The following is an 18,749-nucleotide window of genomic DNA, read 5'->3' as shown; positions in this document are numbered from 1 at the left end:
AGGGGCGAGGCGGCTGGGGACTAGAAAAAGCAGCAGGGAATTAACGTGACAGTCAGAGCCCAGCCAGTGCCTCGCCGGCGCTGCTCTCTCGCCTCGCGGTTGCGGGGTCCGGAATGGAGAGAGGAGGCGGGGGCTGAGCGTTGGCTGCCGGAGACCAGCTGAGGTAGGAGTATTAACTCCCTCTGCTGCTCTCGCCTGCCTTCCTCGCACCCCCTTACACAGCTCTACTTGCAGCAGGCTATGGCCCCATTCTTTCTCCTATTTTTCTAACTACTGAGATCAGAGCTGAATTAAGCTGGTGAAAGGAGCAAAACGTGCAAGGGATTGATTGCCCTCCTTGGGGGAAAAGCGGAGGCTTAAAATCAATTCGACAAATGAGTGTTTACTGGGTGCTGAGTACTGTGCTCCGCTATTGTGAGGGAGGGTTATGAATAAGGTACCCCCCTCCCGCCCCAGGGTCCGTTGTCTGATCTCAGAATCAGTTTCCCCTGCAGTTCTGGAAGCCCAAAGTTTCGGGGTTGAGTTGTGGTCCCTGATCCCGATCCTCAACCAATCTAGCTTTCTAAATCAGAAGAAGGTGGAATTCAATTTTCCTTTCTCCTTCCTGGGATGACTTTAACCTGCAGCCGAAATGGAGTCTATAGGCCCCTTAAAAAAGCGCGCGCACGCCAGTGTGTGTGTGTGCGAGCGCGCTCGCGTGCGCGCGTGTGTTTTAAGAGTAAGTCAAATTAATGGTTTTAGTGATGTTCTTATTTCATGATTTTAATTATTTACCATATCTGCAGTAGACACCAGTTTGGGGCAGAGGAACCCGCCTCTCCAGACTCTACAAATACCACCTTTTTTTCTAAAGCTTTTTTCCGCTACCCCAGTCCTCTGACTCGAGGCAGAAATCTTTCCCCTCTCTTTGCCCTCTCAGAATTTTATTTGCCAATCACTTGCGGAACTTATATATTTATAGATTTATCTCTTCACTCACATATGAGTATTCCCTGTGCTTTTTGTTTGTTTGTTCTCACTGCAACATCCAGCAGTGTTTTGTATCTAATGGGTACTCAAGGAAAGCTTATCCAGTTGAAGGTCATTTTCTCCTTCTGTATGAGCTAAATCTCAGTGTCTCTAGAATTAAAGAGACTCCAGGGATGGAACTTTTGATTTAGGGTGTGGTGGAGGGAACCACACATACAGTTAGACTCACAGCCCCTTTACTGGAAAGGTAATAAAGTATTTAATTCATTTTGGTCTCTAGACAATCAACCTTCTCCCACTGACCACCCACCTCTGTTTCCTGAATTCCCAAAAGCAAAAGAAAACCAAACTGCTAAGCAACTGCCTAGAGCAAGACATGTATGTTCAGCTGCCAACACCTAGAGCAAACCCATTCCAAGTGGAGAATGACCAAAAAATCTTGATTATTTCTTGACCTGTGTCAAGTATGTTGAAAGCCTGCCAAAGTTTCCTCATTTCTATTGAAGCACTCTTATTCTGGATGCATTTTAGAACAGTTTGAACAGTGTTACATTGCTCAGAGGTGAAGAAAATTGCTTTGTAGTTTAAGGATATTTAAGATTTGTTTGTTTGTTTGTTTGTTTTCTGTCCCACCTTCTACAAATTGCACGATAGATACCTCAGATCAGGAATGCTGCATGAAAAAGTATGTCCATAATGCAGGAGATTAGACTAAATGACTCTTAAGATATCTTCTGTCTCTTAGACGTTATGATACTGTGATTTAAAAGATTGCGGTTTAAAGTTTTTTTTTTTTTTAATTTTTGTTTTTGTTTTTTAAAGGAGATTTTAGAACACAAACATAGATACATGTGGATAGCAGGTATGTAATTTGGTGTCGTTTTTCTGAAGGGAAATTTGGCATGCTATTGAAAGCATAACATTTTTGCATTTCATTTTTCCAGTGACTCTAATTCTTCAAATTCATCCTCAGGAAATAACTAAGGTTGAGCAACAAGATTTATCTACCTGGATATTCATTGTAGTGTTGTTTATATTAGTGAAAAATTGAAAAGAAACAAAACTAAACTCAAATGTCTACCAAGAGAGGAATGGTAAAATATTTTGTAAATCTATACAATGGAATATCAGTCAGACACTAAAATGTTGTAGGTGAATATTATCATGATTTATGGTTGTAATATAATTTTAGTCAAAAATTTCAGATGCACAAAGTGAGAAGTAGAATAGTAAAAAATAAAATCTGGAGTTGACAAATCTGGGTTTGAAACCAGGCATTTCTACTTGCTGACTATGTGATTATGGACCTGAACCTCCAATACATCGACTGTATAATTGGGTTGATGTTATTTACATTGTAGTATTGTTGCGATTAAGTGAAATAGCATTTATGAAGCCCTTAGCATGGTGCCTAATGCATAGTAAAATCTCAATATATTAAATAGATTTATTTGGCAAACAAATGTATAAACATGAGTTTAAGGTATGATATATTTTCTGGTAAAAATATATACATATATAGACTCATTTCTACAGTAAGATATACTTCAATATTACCAGTGGCTATCTCTGTTGGCACTGGGATTTGGGGTGTCTTAAAAAAATTCTGTAGTAATCATAAAGTAAAATTATATAGTAAATAACAGCGGAATTTGTTTTTAATTTAATTGTCTTTTAATTAAAATACGACTAACTATGGACATAGGAAACCTCTAGATTTGGAAGTTTTCTGTTTTTGTTGATTCATCAACAAGTCATCAACATTACTTGTTGACTGTTGGTGTCACCCATGCTATAAAAAGGATAAATGACAGGGCATGGAGTTTGTCACCTCTGATATAAACTTAGATTTGTTTTGTAGCAACCAGAAGTCAAGTCCAGCTCAGCAAAATATGCTGTTTAATATAAAGAGCTGATTCGTTGCTACCCTTGCCTTCTCTTGACAGCCAATACAGAGAGAGGGAGAGAGAAAAAGGAGGGATCAGAAGCTATATTTGTAACTTTTGATTAGTGAACTACAGAAGGAAGCCTAACACTGCAGGACCATGACCTTCACATCTACTTTAGTGGCCCCTCTGGGTCAGAGATGGATGGTTTGTACAAGTTTTCTATGTATATTAAAAATGTTATAGAAATACAGGGGGGAATATGATTTATGGTGTTTTCAGTTTAACTTTCTTTAGAAATAGGGGCACGCGATTTAAAAATCAATATGTTCCAGAACACTTTTCATGTAAAGGAAATTCTTTGAATTTTAAATTGTATTCTCTCTCTGACACTCTTTACAGAAATGGAAATGCATTTCTCTGAGCCCAGGAATTGAGTTTCTGAAATCTGAATCACTGGGGTGCCTGAAACTCTGCTGTCTAATGGATGAATGGGTCGAAAATGTGAAGATATGATTACCATGAATCCTTTGTACAAGGTGATCCAGTTAACTACTAATAACAAACCATCCTTAAACTTCTTGGCTTAAGATAACAGCCATCATTTATTTAGCCTGAATCTAAAATTTGGACAAGGCTCACTGAGTAATGCGCACCTCTGATCCACTTCCCACATGGCTCGCCATATACCTGACAGGCTGTGTTGGCTGTTGGCTATTGGTTGAGCATCCGACAGGAGTTGAGAACCAGGGACCTTAGTTTCTCTCCATGCGGGGCTCTCCCTGTGCATCACACCATAGGTTCTCAAAGACTTCCTCACCGCATAGCGGTTGGGTTCACCAGGAGAGCTCCAACAGGGGTCAGACCCTTTCCAGATAATGAAAACCTGAACAATTTAGCCTTATCAATTGTACAAATTCATCCAGTCTTCAAACAGTATCATAAATTTTAGCCCAGAACACACCAGGCAAACTGAACCAGTGAACTAACGAATCATTTGAACGATTTAGGCAAATGGATCAATTTTTCTTTTATATGTTGAGATAATTTCATCAACAATTGGAGTCTTAGTCAATTAAATGAATTCACAATAGTTTCTATATTAAAAAAATTAATGATGTCTTCACATAGGGAAGACTAAATTTCTCATGGTATTTTTAAAGGCCTCTGCAATTTAACTCTCTTCCCAGTCCTATCTCATCACCTCCTCTAGTCTCTCATATTTATCCATCTTACCTGAGCCTTGTTTTGACTTGTATTAGGGCTGAATGTTGAGAAGTCTCCCTTTCTTACTAGACTCTAAGTTCCTTGAGAGCAGAGACTTTTTCAGTTTATGTCCCCACAACCCTCAGCCCTGAGACATGCATGAAGTATGTGCTTGATATACCTTTACTGAAAAAATGAATAATTCAACATCCCTTGGCTTTCTAATTCAATCATTCATTTTCCAAAATGGCAATATTGGTCATGAGTTACTTCACAGGGAAGCTAATTAATTCCCTGAAACTGGAAAATGTTTTGAAGTTCCACAGTACTTTAGAAGCACACAGGAACATTAATATGTGTAATACATACATTATTATTACTTCCCTGACACATAAATGGTAAATAATCCCTTTTTAGTGTGTTTGTTTTGGATGTACTGGACAAATTTGCAGAAAGTAATGTATTGTTGGCTCATTTCTACTAATGGACACCTGTGTGGACTGAATAAGATGTGGTCTCTTCTAGCTCTATTATTTGTTTATTTCTCCAACTTTCAGAGCCACTATTTATACATGCTTCTTGCCAGAAAGGTGACCATGACATGAGAATCGGCCTTCTTGGGGTTCTATGTCTTAACAGATAGTACGGGTACCTATACAATTCTAGGAGTGCCCCAGCCACATAATTACTGTGATGTAACTACAAAGCTGCATGATCTAATAGAGAATCCTTGCCCCAAAGTGGAACTGTCTCTCCTCTGGAAATTTTGTATAAGAAAACTGGGAGGGTTGGGTTAACCTCTCTGGTAGCTAAAGCTGCAAGATTTAAATCATAGGTGCAATGAGCAGGTATACTGTCTGCCATGTGGAGAAAGCCATACTGCAGTATGAGTGATAAAGCTGCCACACAGGTACAGACGTGAGAGACAGGGCAATTCCCTGTAGCTTCTATGCCCCTGGATACAGCTATTTAAAGGTCCAGCCATGTCTCTGTTCTTCCCATAGCTTTTTATATATCCACTCATTTCAATAAGTTTCCCTTTTTACTTAAAGTCATTCAAATTTTCTTTCCATCATTTGGGACCCAAAAAATTTCAACTAATGCAACATCAAAGAAAGATTTGAGGAATGACTCTCAGAAAATGTTTAATTAAAAGTTGGAGAGAAGTATTTTGGGATGCTTTGATATAAGGCTTACATTTTTCAAAGTTAAAAGCCCAAAAGCAACATAAACTGAACTATTTTTCCAGACAGTAAAAATAGGACCTTAAATGTGAAAACATGATCCCAGTGTTTGTAATTTACTAGAATGTAGACTTCATGAAGGCAGAGATTTGGATCCTTTGCTACTATATTCCAACAACTAGAATAGAATTCTACGTAGGGTAGGATATTAATATTTATTGAATAAGTTGATGTATTTCCTTGTTGCATCTCTTTCTTAATCCCAGTAGGAATATGAAAAATTCTCATTTATTGAACTCATGCTATAAAACAGCCATCGTGCTAAAATGTTGTCAAAATTTCATTTTTTACCAGATGTTGGGGTGGGGATGGAGGGCAACTGTTCTCATAGATAAAACAGTTTGCTCAAGGGCACACAGGTTCTATATATTGAGGCTAGGGGTTAAACCCAGGATCACCTGTCTCCAAAACATGTGTTTTTTCTACCATCCCACAATCACATATTAATGTGTTCCTTTATAGGGCAGAAATCTTTCCTGAGGTATTAAGATGTAAGGCGTAGAGCTAGACTGGTATTTTGCTTCATATATAATTGCAGCTTTAAATATCAAGGGTTTAATGAATAAAGAATTAGTTCCCATTTTATAGACAAGTAAGTGGAGGTCTATGGTGTTGCCTCAGTATTCATCAATGTCTTCTCTGAAAGTCTTATTATGAGGATGGAAGCTCCACTCTTGCTCCTCTTGCCTCCCCATGAAGAGACTTCATAACATCTTAGTCTCTTGTAGCTGTTGCTGCTCTACCACACAGCTTCCAACTGCAAGGAAGCACCTGCTTCTCTATGCCTGGTCTTTTGACGAGTGCCAGGGGACTTACTGCTCCATTACCAATAACTGATGAGAAATGATGGATAAATATCCCACATGCAACTCCTCTTTTGAGATGTCTCTAAGGCATGTTGTACACTGTGCCCCAGAAGTCCTGTATATGATTAAGCACTCGTTACACACAACACTAGCTTGCCCAAAAGCGAACCCTTTATTGGCTTCTTTCCCATCCTTGTCTCACTGCCCTAACTCTACCAGAATTTTCCAAATAAATTTCTTGAATTCACACCCTTATCCCAAAGGTTTGCATCTGGGATACCCCCAACTAAGGCATCTCTCTGGCCCATTCACTCTTGAACTCTAAAAGAGAGGGTCAAATTACCTGATTGATCAGTTTAAAAGAAGACACTGAAAATTATCCTTACATTTATCTCTTTTGAAGATATCAAGTACATAGGACACAAACGTGTTCAGACTGCACCCTGCCATGTGCTTAAGGACTTGCACTTTGGGGAAGGTCTTAGTCACTGAATGAACAAGTCAGTTTACTTCAAAAGTAAGGTATTAGGACATATCAAAGTCCTTATAGATCTAAAATCACGTTTCCAATCAACTTTATTTGCAATACAGTGGACATTTTAATTTCCATCAAAATTAGCTTCACATGATTCATAATAGCCAAAAGGTAGAAACAACCCAAATGTCTCCATCAACTGACAAATGGAAAGAGAAAATATATTATAGCCATATAATGAAATATTACTTGGCCATAAAAAGAGATGAAGTACTGATACATGCTATAGCATGGATAGACCATGATACTATGGTAAGTAGAATAAGAAGCCAGTCACAAAAGATCACATATTGTGTTATTCTATTCACATGAAATGTCTGGGACAGAGAAATTTACAGAGACAGAAAGTAGATTAGTGGTTGCTTAGGGCTGTGGTATGAGTTGGAGATGAAAAACATGATAACTAAAGAGTGTGAGGTTTCCTTTTGAGGTGATAAAAATGTTTTAACATTGACTGAAGTGTTGGTTGTCCTATATCTATCAATAAAAGCCATTGAAGTGTATTCTTTAAGTAGATGAATTATGTCTCAAAAAAGTGGTAAAAGCTAGCCCCACGTGGTGATGCAAAATGTTAATGTTGTGTGAAAGATACATGACAGCTCTGTGCTATCTTTGCAACTCCTCTGTAAATATAAAACAGTCATCTCTTAAGGTTGTAATAATCAATTGAGATATTATATATGACACCACTGTACCTGGCAAATACTCTCTTTCCCCCTCCTCCTTCTCCCTCTAACTAAAATAGGGACCCATGTGGAGATATATATATATACACACACATATATATATACACACATATATATATATACACACACACACACATATATATGTATATATATACACATGTATATATATGTGTGTGTATATATATGTATGTATACATATATATATAGATATATGGACAGCACCACGTCTGCTTCTGAGGCATCTGATTTTTTTTCCCTAAAATCTCCATTATCCTTTATGTCCTCTTGTTACTTTACGGGTGTAACATTTGGCCCGATAAGGTGTAGTTAATATCCCTATTACTACAATTTAATAGACATAATAAGCCAATTCAGTTTTCAATGCCAGAGATTTGGGCAAAAAATAAAGCAGGGTGACATCAATAACTGATGCCAGTGTGGCCCTTCTCAGCAATTGTTTTTTTCTTGTTTCTTTTGCACCCCATCATAGCTATTTTTGTTATTTATGTGTGTTTTATGAAAATGGTAGCATTCCACCAGATCCACATGTAAGCCTCGAGTTGCTGATGCAGGCTTTCCTTCCTCCTTCTGTAGAACTTGTGAAAGCCAGCACAATATTTCTGTTAGTTGGTCTGGAGTCAATTCTGTTTCTAATTATGGGGTTTATTTTCTTCTTTTGTTGTAAAGTTTTCTCCACTCCCTGGGGGTGTTTCAAGGATTTGACAAGGAAGCTTTCCCTATGGTCCTGATTTCATCGTAGAAGCCAAGGGTGTGGAGGAAATGCCCTTGCTGGAGTGGAGGCGGAGGTTTCAGTCCTCTTTCTAAACTTAAAAGGAACTAAGGAAACCAGAGACAAGCCATCTAATCCCTTCAGGCTTCAGTGTTTTCTTCCGTAAAATGAGAGGATTGGCTTGAATGTCTCTAAAGTTTCACTCAGGCCTGACATTCTCTCAAAATGCAAGCATTTTCCTGAAGTTTACTGACAAGCAGTTGCCAAACACCAGAAGAGTGCTGATATGTTGCTAGCTAATATTATCTCTCATCTGTTTGCAGCATTTTGCTCGGAGATCATCAGTGAGAGCAGTTCAGTGTTCTGATGTCTGCTCTGAGGAAAGCTTTAGAGAACACAGGAACAGGGAGTGATACAGAGGGTAGATTCCTCCAACATGAGTACAGATGATGTTGCTCTGTTATGATGTTCATGCAGACACAGAGAGACCAACCGAAGGCTAGTCTTAGTGGCTGAAAGATGAGTATTACATAAGTGCAATTTTACTTTCTGCGTTAATCTTTGCTGAGGTAATTGTCTTCATTCTATTTTCAGTGTGTTGTTGGCAGTGTTGCATGGCCTACTGACAGTTGCTCAATAAAAATAGAGATCTTACCCTAGAGAAAAAGCACAATATTTACTCGCGGCCAATGCCCTGCTTCTACGAATCATGGTACTCAGTTCCTCAAGAGTTAAATGGAGACAGGTACCTGCTGGAGTTTTAACAAGAATCAAAGTTGAGTTGTATTTACAGGTTGTTGGGTATGTCTGGCACACAACTTTGTATACAAGGAGCCATTAACGATTTCAGCAAGCAGAGATCTTTCCAAAATGAGAACACCTGAAAGTTATATTCTTCTCTTCACACACCACATATTCACTTTTAGGTCACCTTACCCTCCATGTGCACCACCAAATGCAACCAAATGTACCTCCTAAATAACTATCTAATGGCCCACAGCACACCATCCCTCTCCTCTCTTCCCAGCTGCTGTCTTGAATCATAACATTATTATTTCTCATCTGAGTACTTCAGTATTCTCCTAAAAGGTCTCACCATCCCTAGTTCTCCCCTTACCTCCCTTCCATTCTCTGCACAGCAGTTGGAGTGATCCTTTTAGTCTGCTAATGTGACTGTGACATGCCTTGCTCAAAATTCTTCAATGGTTCATGATAACATTTTAACTTCATTACACAGCCCACAAGTCTCATTATAATCTCCTGTCTGCCTATTTCACTAGCCTCACCTCCTGTCATTCTTCTTTCTTCTGTGGTACAGCTGAGCTTAGATGCTCACAGTTCTCCAAAATTCACCACATTCTTGTGCCTCTCACTGAAATACAGCCTGGAATCTCCAATTCACTCAGCCAGCTTCTCATCTTTTGTGTGTCTCTCACTAACACCCTCTTGAGCGCCCTTTCCTGATTCTCCAGGCAGACCTAAGGACTGTTTCCTTCTCATTCTCAATGCTCAATCTACATTCTTCCAACATGGCAATAATCAAACTAGCATTGTCCTGGTAAACTCAAGTGCGATCATCTAAAGGCTGAGACCATGTATTGGGTCTTCATCTCCTTACCACCAAACCAGATACAAGGTGCTCAATACATGCCTAAGGAAGAGAATGAAAAGAACATTTACTAAACACCTAAAATATGTCATATGCATACTTGTAATTTTTACTAAAGCTATGATATTTGGAAGGTGGGGAACAGGGAGGGAAACAGTGCATAGTTTATGAGCTATATCTGGTAGAATGATAAAAGTAATGAGAGGAGGGGAAGATAATAATAAAAATCATGTATTTTGAAAAGTAACAAACCAGAAAGAAAAACTAATAAATCATGAAAGGGAAAGCAAACTAAGCATAATATTAAGGAAATAAGAACTTTGGCTCCAAGTGACTTTCCCCCTACAGGGAGTAAAAAGACTCTGGAGTCCTCACTATTAAAGCCTCCTGCCATATTTAAGGATGGCCTTGATGATCAAGCATTAGCATGCAGAATGGATTGGAAAGTGTCAATGTCCCAAGTAAGGGGAAGTTCAACGATCACTTTTCATAACCTGCAGAGATATTAAAAGAAATTTTTAACTACACAACTGTATATCCACAGAATTTAATCACAGGTTACAGCAGAATTTTTCTCTTATTGTCTTAAACATCAAAGTCTTTGACTTTTAGTGGGGAGTATTGAGAGGTGAGGCTAGAGAAGCAGCAGAAAGGAAATTATACTGAGACTTGAAGACTGTAATACAGAGTTAACATTTTAACATAAAGGATATGGGGGCCATAATATAATTTTGAACAAATTGTGTCACAAGCACATTTTCAAGCTAGAAATCTCTTGACAGTTGTATTCAACATAGTGGGAATGTGTAAAAGGGATGGGAATAGTGAGACCATTTAGGACTTTATCACAGTACTTGTATTAGTCCATTTTCACACTGTGGTTAAATATATACATGAGACTGGGAAGAAAGAGACGTTTAATTGGACTTAGAGTTCCACATGGCTGGGAAGGCCTCAGAATTATGGCGGGAGGTGAAAGACACTTCTTACATAGTGGCAGCAAAAGAAAATGAGGAAAAGCAAAAGTGGAAACCCCTGATAAAACCATCAGATCTGGTGAGACTTATTCACTATTACAAGAATAGCACAGGAAAGACTGGCCCCCATGATTTGATTTCCTCCCTCTAGGTCCCTCCTGCAATATGTGGGAATTCTGGGAGGAACAATTCAAGTTGAGATTTGGGTGGGGACACAGCCAAACCATATGAACACTCCAGGTAAGAAAAGTTGCTGTTCTGAATCAAGAAGACAAGAGGGTATGGGGAGGCATAGACCAATAAGAGAAGAAGGTTCTGAGGTAAATTAAGGCATATGGCCTTATCTCAGTGACCCGTGCTATGATGGAGTCCAGTCATCCCTTCCATGTACTAACTTAATGAGGCATTTCTAGCCCGTCAGGATTGCCATGACTAAGAGAACCCCAGACCCACGGTGGCAGACATGGTTAGTTGTTCACCCAATGACCATCATCTTCTTCACCATTCTTCCAGTAGAGCCCATTTCTCATTACAGAAGCTGAAAATCTACTTTCTCAGATGCCCTTGCAGTGAAGAATGGGAAATAGACATGATTCCAGTCAAAGGAACCTAAGAAGAAGCTTGCTGGGAGATTTGTAGCAAAGACTTTTCTCCTTATAAAAAGATCACAAGAGAAACAATATCCTTCTCCTACTAATCATGAGCTTTGCCGTGTCTATATGTGCTAGTTAGAATCAGTGCAGCCATCTTGAGACCTTAAGGGAAAAGCCAGTATGGGGAAGTGGAACAATGGAAAGAGCCTGTGTCCTTACTGAGGTCAACACCTACATCCAAACTTTGGTTACATAAGATAATACAAAATCTCATTTTAAAAGTTCTTACTACTCAGAGTGAGGTCAGTGGACCAAATGTATCAATATCACCTGGAACTTGCTAAAACTGCAGAAGCCTGGGCAGTATTCCAGAAATACTAAATTATAACATGCATGTTAACAAGATTCCCAGAATAAGTTTAAGCCACTTTTAATTGGGTATTTAGTTGTTTGGAGTTGGAGGCATCCTAATTAACATACGCACTATACACACAGTTCCTTTCGTAACTAGAATTGATTGCATTTTTTGTTATTCTACAATATTTGACCACCTCCTCTATCATAAAACACATTTTATTTTGTCATGTGTATGTAGAATGGTTAAAACTATCTATGATCATCTGACCCGTGCAATTTACACATTCTTTAAGGGTAGGCTGTATATCCTATTCACTTTTGCATTTCCCTTGCTACCTAGCATTAAGCCCTGTGAAAATTAGTCATTGAAATACTCGTTGAATGAAAGAATAAAGAGTAATCATTTCTTTGAAATTCCTCTGGCCAATGAGAATTTTAGACTTCCAATAATTAGGTACAATGGATTTCTAAGGTATGCTGATGATCTGCCTTAGGCTGTGAATGTATTCCATTTTCTTATGCAAACACATTTCCAGATAGAGCCCTGTTCCACAGAGCTCTTCCTTGGATCTTCTTTGTGGTGGGCCACATCACTGCCATTTTCCTAAAGCTTTATTGCCTCGTTGTTACTGGAATAATGAACATCATCTCAAGGTTATCCCTGTTAAAATCACCAAATCCAGCCCTATTGATACCACTCTAAACACATAGATTCTTAATTTAAAGTAATCAATGCCACAAATCAATCCACCATTTAGTATCAAGAACTGACCACTGAATAAGGTCAGGAAAGAAATCCCTGGCTTCCTAGAATTCAGGAAAAGCCTAAAAGGGACAGAAGCATTCCATCCAGGTGACTCTGCTTCCCTTAAATGGCTCTGGAAGTGGTCTAACTTAGAGAAGCTTAGAATGCAAGGCTAAATATAGAAAATTGATTTATCTTTTTCATTTAATAAAAAAAAATCTATAGATTTCATAAAGAAGAAACCCTGCATATAGGTCATCCAAATAAAGAAAACACACAGATAAACAGAGAGAGACAGAGACACATAGAGAGACAGACAAAGAGAGATGGAGAGAGGGAGAGAATAGCTCTTAGCCATCTTACATCACATGCACACATATGTAGCCATGTCATTTGATGTTATGCTCTATCTATTATTTGTAAATATACCTTTATAGCCCATCCAATAAATCTGTGTGCTTGCCTGCTTCCTCAACATCTGGCAAAGAAATAGACATTGTAGTTATGGTGATCAAAGCTCAAGAACTAAAGAAGAGTTCTAAGCTACGGTTCCAGCTCTGTACTGAGGAGAGGTTAGAGGTGGACCTATATCAGCCTCAGTATATTTATATAAGTACTTCTTTAGATGATGAACACCCTTCCACTTCAAAGTTGGGAGTGGATGAGAAAAATCATACAATTACTTAGAGGAATTAGTTTCAAAAACTTCTTAGGAGTTTTGTAAAATAATTTAGAAGAGGTTGTTACTAAATCTTTCTGTCTGTTTTGACTTTTTTATCTGCTTATGGACAGCTCTAATTGGGCAAAGAAACAAACGTGATGTAGCAAAATAATTCTCAACAGTGACTATAATAATTCAATATTTTCAACCAAAAGCTAAACTTTATTGTACCAAATTGCCTGATAAAGCTCACAAAACACACACACACACACACACACACACACACACACAGACAGCTGTGGCTATAAGTCCTCAATTGTCCTTTGAAAAGAGGCAAATTACAGAAGCTATTTAAGGATCTGAGAATGCCCAATAGCAAATTATATCTGTTTAGATTATGGTTTAAATTGACAAAATCAATTCTCTAATTGGTAAGGGCATTTTTTTCCTCACAGAAGGAACTAATTTTATGTTTATATTAATAAGATAGTTTCGAGGCACTATTCATTTGAAATTCACTGAAAGTTAATTCCCCAGAAAGAACTTGGTTAACCAATTTATAGAGTTTCCAACTTGGGTAACAGACGTCTTACTCATATTTATGATAAACACACAGGAAGCAAGAGAGCCCCAAGAGGTGCAGTGGCTTGCCCAAGCACACACAATTAGAGGTAGAACCAGGGCCACAGACTCATTGTCACTTTTGCTTAGAGCAGTGATTCTCAACTAGTGGCAATTTTGTCCCCCAGGGAACACTGAGCAATGTCTGCAGGTATTTTGCATTGTCACGACAAGCAGGAAGGCACTAATTGTGTCTAGCAGGTAGAGGTCAGGGATGCTGCTAAACATCCTAAAACACGCAAAATAGCTGTCCAACCAAGTGGGGCCAAGGCTGAGAAACCCAGCGATAGAGTCACCTTCATGTGCACGCATGCGTGCACACATACACACACTCACACACACACACACAAACGTGCAAATAAATGCAAAGATGACAAAAAGAGAATAAAATAGCTATCTAAATTATCTCTAACACTTGCTTATAAGCAAAATCAAGAAGGGTAATAACAACAGCAAGCCTTAGAGTTTTCTATGCTCTTCTCTTTCACTCATACTTGACTTCCAATGTCAGCATATCCTGTCATCTCTACCTTCAAACTAGATCCCCAAATCAGCTGCTTCTTACCACCTTCACTGATGACTCCTAGTTCTGGTCATCATTATCTTTAGCATGGACCAATGCATTAGCGTCCTAGGTGGAATGTCTTCTTCAGCTCTGTACCCATTCAGCCAGTTTTCAACTCAGCAGCCACAATAACTTTAACAATGAAAACCTGATCATGTCACTTCCTTTTTATAAAGCTTAGTCCTCCACTCAGACTAACGCTATATCCCAGTGTGCTGTTGGAAATGTGTGGGGCATATTTTTGGCTGTCATGATAAGCTCGGTGCTACCGGCATTTAGCACCTGGGGCCAAAGAAAGTTAATTTTCCTGCAATGGGAGAGGTTACGAAAAACTGACTTGTCCAAGCTTTTTAGCACCTCTGGTAGGATGCAGTAGTTCACCGTCTACCCCACTCTCCATCTTGCTCTCTATGCTCCAGCCATTGACCATCCCCCATGACCCTTGGGCCTGCAAATTATGTTTTAATATCAAGGACTTGGCACTAGTTGACCCTGCCTAAAAAACTCTTCCTCAATTATCCAAATATCTTACTCCCTCTCTTCATTCAGATACCTCACTTAAATTGTCATCTCATTAGAGAAACATTAAATCACAATCTTAACTAAATTATCATCTCCTTATTAAAGTGAGAGGTTAGTCTGATGAATGTTCCTTCATTTCACTTATCAACAGCTAATATTATTTTGTTAGTGTATTCTGTTTATTATCTGTTTTCCTATGAGGAAGTGAGCTCCAAGAGGGCAGGGGCTTTGTTTACTCATCTTTGTCTCTTCAGTGCCTAAAACAGTGCCTGGACAGAAAAGTTATTAGGATAATGTGCAAGGAGTGAACAAATGAATGCATACTTTCACTTAGACAAAAAAAAAATCCCACTAGAAATGTGTGTGTGGTCAGAGTAGAGAGAAAAATCACAAATGTCCTCTTAACCTGATGGAGGTACATTTTAAAAACCTAACATTACCAAAAAAAAAGAAAATCCCACACTCATCAAGTATTGCTTGCAAAATTATACTTAAGAAGTAGTCCTAATTGTTCTGTTAATTATTTGGTGATCATACCTTTGTGGACTGAGTATTGCAAATAGGTCAGGATATTTTTCTAATACTTCAGGTATCATGGACAAAAGGGGAAACATTCAATTCGATCTATTCACATAAGATATAATTAATACCTTTATTAAGGGATACAAAATTTTATGGACTATTTTGTGCTGACAATATTAAATGTGTAAACTCAGTAGGAATGGTGAAGTAAGGAAAATTCCTCTTCATTAACTTTGATGGGAGCTGGGAGTCTGACAAAACTGCAATTGCCTTGGGGTCTGGTTTCAGGCCAAGGAGACAAACTTCTCTCAGAGAAAACTTTGAGTTTGGAGAGACAGGCTCCCAGAAGTCCTCTGATTAGCAAGCAGCATATGCTGTCATCTCTAATCAAACTTTTCTGAGCTCTGATTGTCCCCATACATCACATTTAACCCCCTGGCTAAAGAACCACAGAGGTGTAGCAGAGCAAGGAGAATGTTGTTATGGAAAAAGAAGCACCTGTAATACTCATCATTTGGATATATGGACCCCATGTGTTTTGGGTCAGCTTCCATAATATGAGAGCCTGCAGTAAGTATTTTGGTGAAAGTGTTTTATTAGGAGCTACTGTCCAGAGAAGGGGAGTATAGAAAGCAGAATAGGGCCAGAAGAAGAATCTAAACTAGGATGTAGTCTTAACAGGAATCTAGCTTTAGTCTGATCTTATGCAGAGCTCTGAAACATGAAGTATACTGCAGAATTGGTCCTCCTAAAAGCAAGGAAACCAGCCTTTCATACCCTTTGGCAATCCTTGGCCTTTGGCCGCTCCATAGGATGGGGTGTCACCTCCCTGGTGAAGAGCTCCCCCATTCCATGGAGGACAATTCTCTAAGAAGGAGGCAGCTATGAGACCTTAGCAACCAACAATCATGACAGCTGTGGGGGAAGAAGTGCCCCTATACTTTGAAGGGCACTTGGATGAGGGAGCAACAGCATTTTCCTGTCTGCCAGTGTCTCAAAGAGACATGAATCACAAATACAATTAGTTAGAAAAAAAACCCCAAAGTACTCTCTCTAAGTATAACTGTTTGGCACAGCATTATTCACAGTGGCCTTGGGAATCATGTCTGGCATCCTGAGTGTTTTCTGAGGGAATTCTACTAACATAGGGAAATGTCCACATGATATTTGTAAAGCCAAATAACATCTTCTTCTCTCCTTGAAATGCTCCAAGCCTTTTACAAAGAGTCGTACTAACAAGTCTCAGAGAACAGTAGACAAAACTAAGATGTTAAACATCAAATTTAAAAGTTAAAAAAGAGTCTATTTACCAATAACTTTGAATAATGATCAACTGAAACCCTTTCAGCAAGTCCTTTAGAAATCTTATTTGCATGTATTTTTTTTCGCTAATTTTCTTTTTAAAATAATTCTCTAATGCAGCTCAAGGTTTCCCAGCCTCAGCACTATGCACATTTTGGGCCAGATAATTTGGAGCTGTCCTGTGCATTGCAGGGTACTGATACAGTTTGGCTGTGTCTCACCTTGAATTGTAATAATCTCCATGTGTTGTGGGAGGGACCCAGTGGGAAGTAATTGAATCAAAGGGGTGGGTTTTTCTATGCTGTTCTCGTGATAGTGAATAAGTCTTATGAGATATGATGGTTTTATAAAGGGGAGTTCCCCTGCACATGCTCTCTTGCCTGCTGCCATGTAAGATGTGCCTTTGCTTCACTTCTCCTTTGCCTTCTGCCATGATTATGAGGCCTCCCCAGCCATGTAAAACTGTGAGTCCATTAAACGTCTTTCCTTTATAAATTACCCAGTCTCAGGTATGTCTTTATTAGCAGTGTGAGAACAGACTAATACAGGTATTTAGCAGCACCGTGGCCTCTACCTACTAGATGTCAATGGAATGTCTGCTTCACCTCTTCAACCTCATAGGGCCAAATGTCCTCTGGAAGGTAAAATGATTCCTAGTTGAGTACCACTGATAAAGCCAAAGGAAACCAGGACAATCTTTGGAGTCATGGCAGGGCTATCCACTTTGTGTTTTGGGCAAGCTAAAAAGTAATTCTAAGCCTTGGTTTTCTCATTTGTGAAATGGGAATAATACCTATTCTACAGGCTTATTCTAATGATGTAAGTAGATAATATTATATAGCATACCACTTGAAATATTAGTCAGTGTTTCTTCTCTTCCCTTCCTTCTGGACTGAAATGTTTTCAAAATTGGTTTGCATTCTTATGAATAGAATAGTGGATATAAAAGACCATTTTATACAAATTAGAACATGATACATGGTTTTACCTCAAAGATCCAACATTGATAGAGAAAAAAACTAATTTATCCCCACTGTCCCTTTTCAGTTTTTATTAACCTTTGAAGAAAGTGTATTGGGAATTTAGATATGCATTTATAATAACTAACATTTTCTGAATGCTTGAATAAGTGCCAGATTCTGTTCTAAGCACTTTATATTGATTATCTCCTGAGTAAGTACAACTATCCCCAATTTATAGATGAAAAACAGAAGGCAGAAAGAGGTTAAGTTTTTCATCCAAAGTAACAGAAAATGATGAATGATATGGTTTGGCTGTGTACCCACCCAAATATCATCTTGAATTGTAGCTCCCATAATTCTCATGTGTTGTAGGAGGGACCCGATGGGAGACAACTGAATCATGGGGGTGATTTCTCCCATACTGTTCTCATTGTAGTGAATGTCTCATGATCTGATGGTTTTATAAGGGGAAACACCTTTTGCTTGGCTCTCGTTCTCTTGTCTGCTGCCCTGTAAGATGTGCCTTTCACCTGCCATGATTGTGAGGCCTCCTCAGCCACGTGGAACTCTAAGTCCATTAAACTCATTTTTCTTCCCAGTCTCGAGTATGTCTTTATCAGCAGTGTGAAAACAGACTAATACGGTAAATTGGTACCAGTGGAGTAGGGTGCTGCTGATAAGATACCCAAAAATATGGAAGTGACTTTGGAACTGGGTAACAGGGAGAGGCTGGAACAGTTTGTAGGGCTCAGAAGAAGACAGGAAGATGTGGAAAAGTTTGGAACTTCCTTGAGACTTATTGAATGGCTTTGACAAGAATGCTGATAATGATATAGACAATGAAATTCAGGCTGGGGTGGTCTCAAATGGAGATGAGGAACTTGTTGGGAACTGAAGTAAAGGTGACTCTTGCTATGTTTTAGCAAAGAGACTGGTGGTATTTTGCCCCTTCCCTAGAGATTTGTGGAACTTTGAACTTGAGGGAGATGATTTAGGGTATTTGGTGGAAGAAATTTCTAAGCAGCAAGGCATTCAAGAAGTGACTTAGGTGCTGTTATAGGCATTCAGTTTTAAAAAGGAAACAGACATAAAAGTTCAGAAAATTTGCAGCTTGATGATGCCATAGAAAAGAAAATCTCATTTTCTGAGAAGAAATTCAAGCTGGCTGCAGAAATTTGCGTAAGTAATGAGGAGCCAAATGTTAATTGTCAAAACAGTGGGGAAAATGTCTCCAGGGCATGTCAGAGACGT

General features: G+C 38.8%; 1 long non-coding RNA gene across 1 annotated transcript, besides 1 other annotated feature; it reads left to right on the top strand.

Moving 5' to 3' along the window:
* Positions 1-7,149, top strand: LRRC3B-AS1 (LRRC3B antisense RNA 1). The gene is made up of 4 exons (NR_183726.1): positions 1-163; positions 1,792-1,831; positions 2,916-3,062; positions 3,258-7,149. It is a non-coding gene; the product is annotated as an LRRC3B antisense RNA 1 (long non-coding RNA).
* Positions 143-658: an enhancer, noted in NCBI's record as "H3K4me1 hESC enhancer chr3:26663597-26664112 (GRCh37/hg19 assembly coordinates)". NCBI's record gives its function as "activates a minimal SCP1, AML or CMV promoter by ChIP-STARR-seq in primed H9 embryonic stem cells {active_cell/tissue: H9 hESC(primed)}" and the evidence as "EXISTENCE:reporter gene assay evidence [ECO:0000049][PMID:30033119]".
* Positions 7,150-18,749: the final 11,600 nt, after the last annotated feature.

Source organism: Homo sapiens, chromosome 3, assembly GCF_000001405.40.
Source record: "Homo sapiens chromosome 3, GRCh38.p14 Primary Assembly".
NCBI lineage: Eukaryota > Metazoa > Chordata > Mammalia > Primates > Hominidae > Homo > Homo sapiens.
This window is presented reverse-complemented; position numbering and strand designations above follow the sequence as displayed.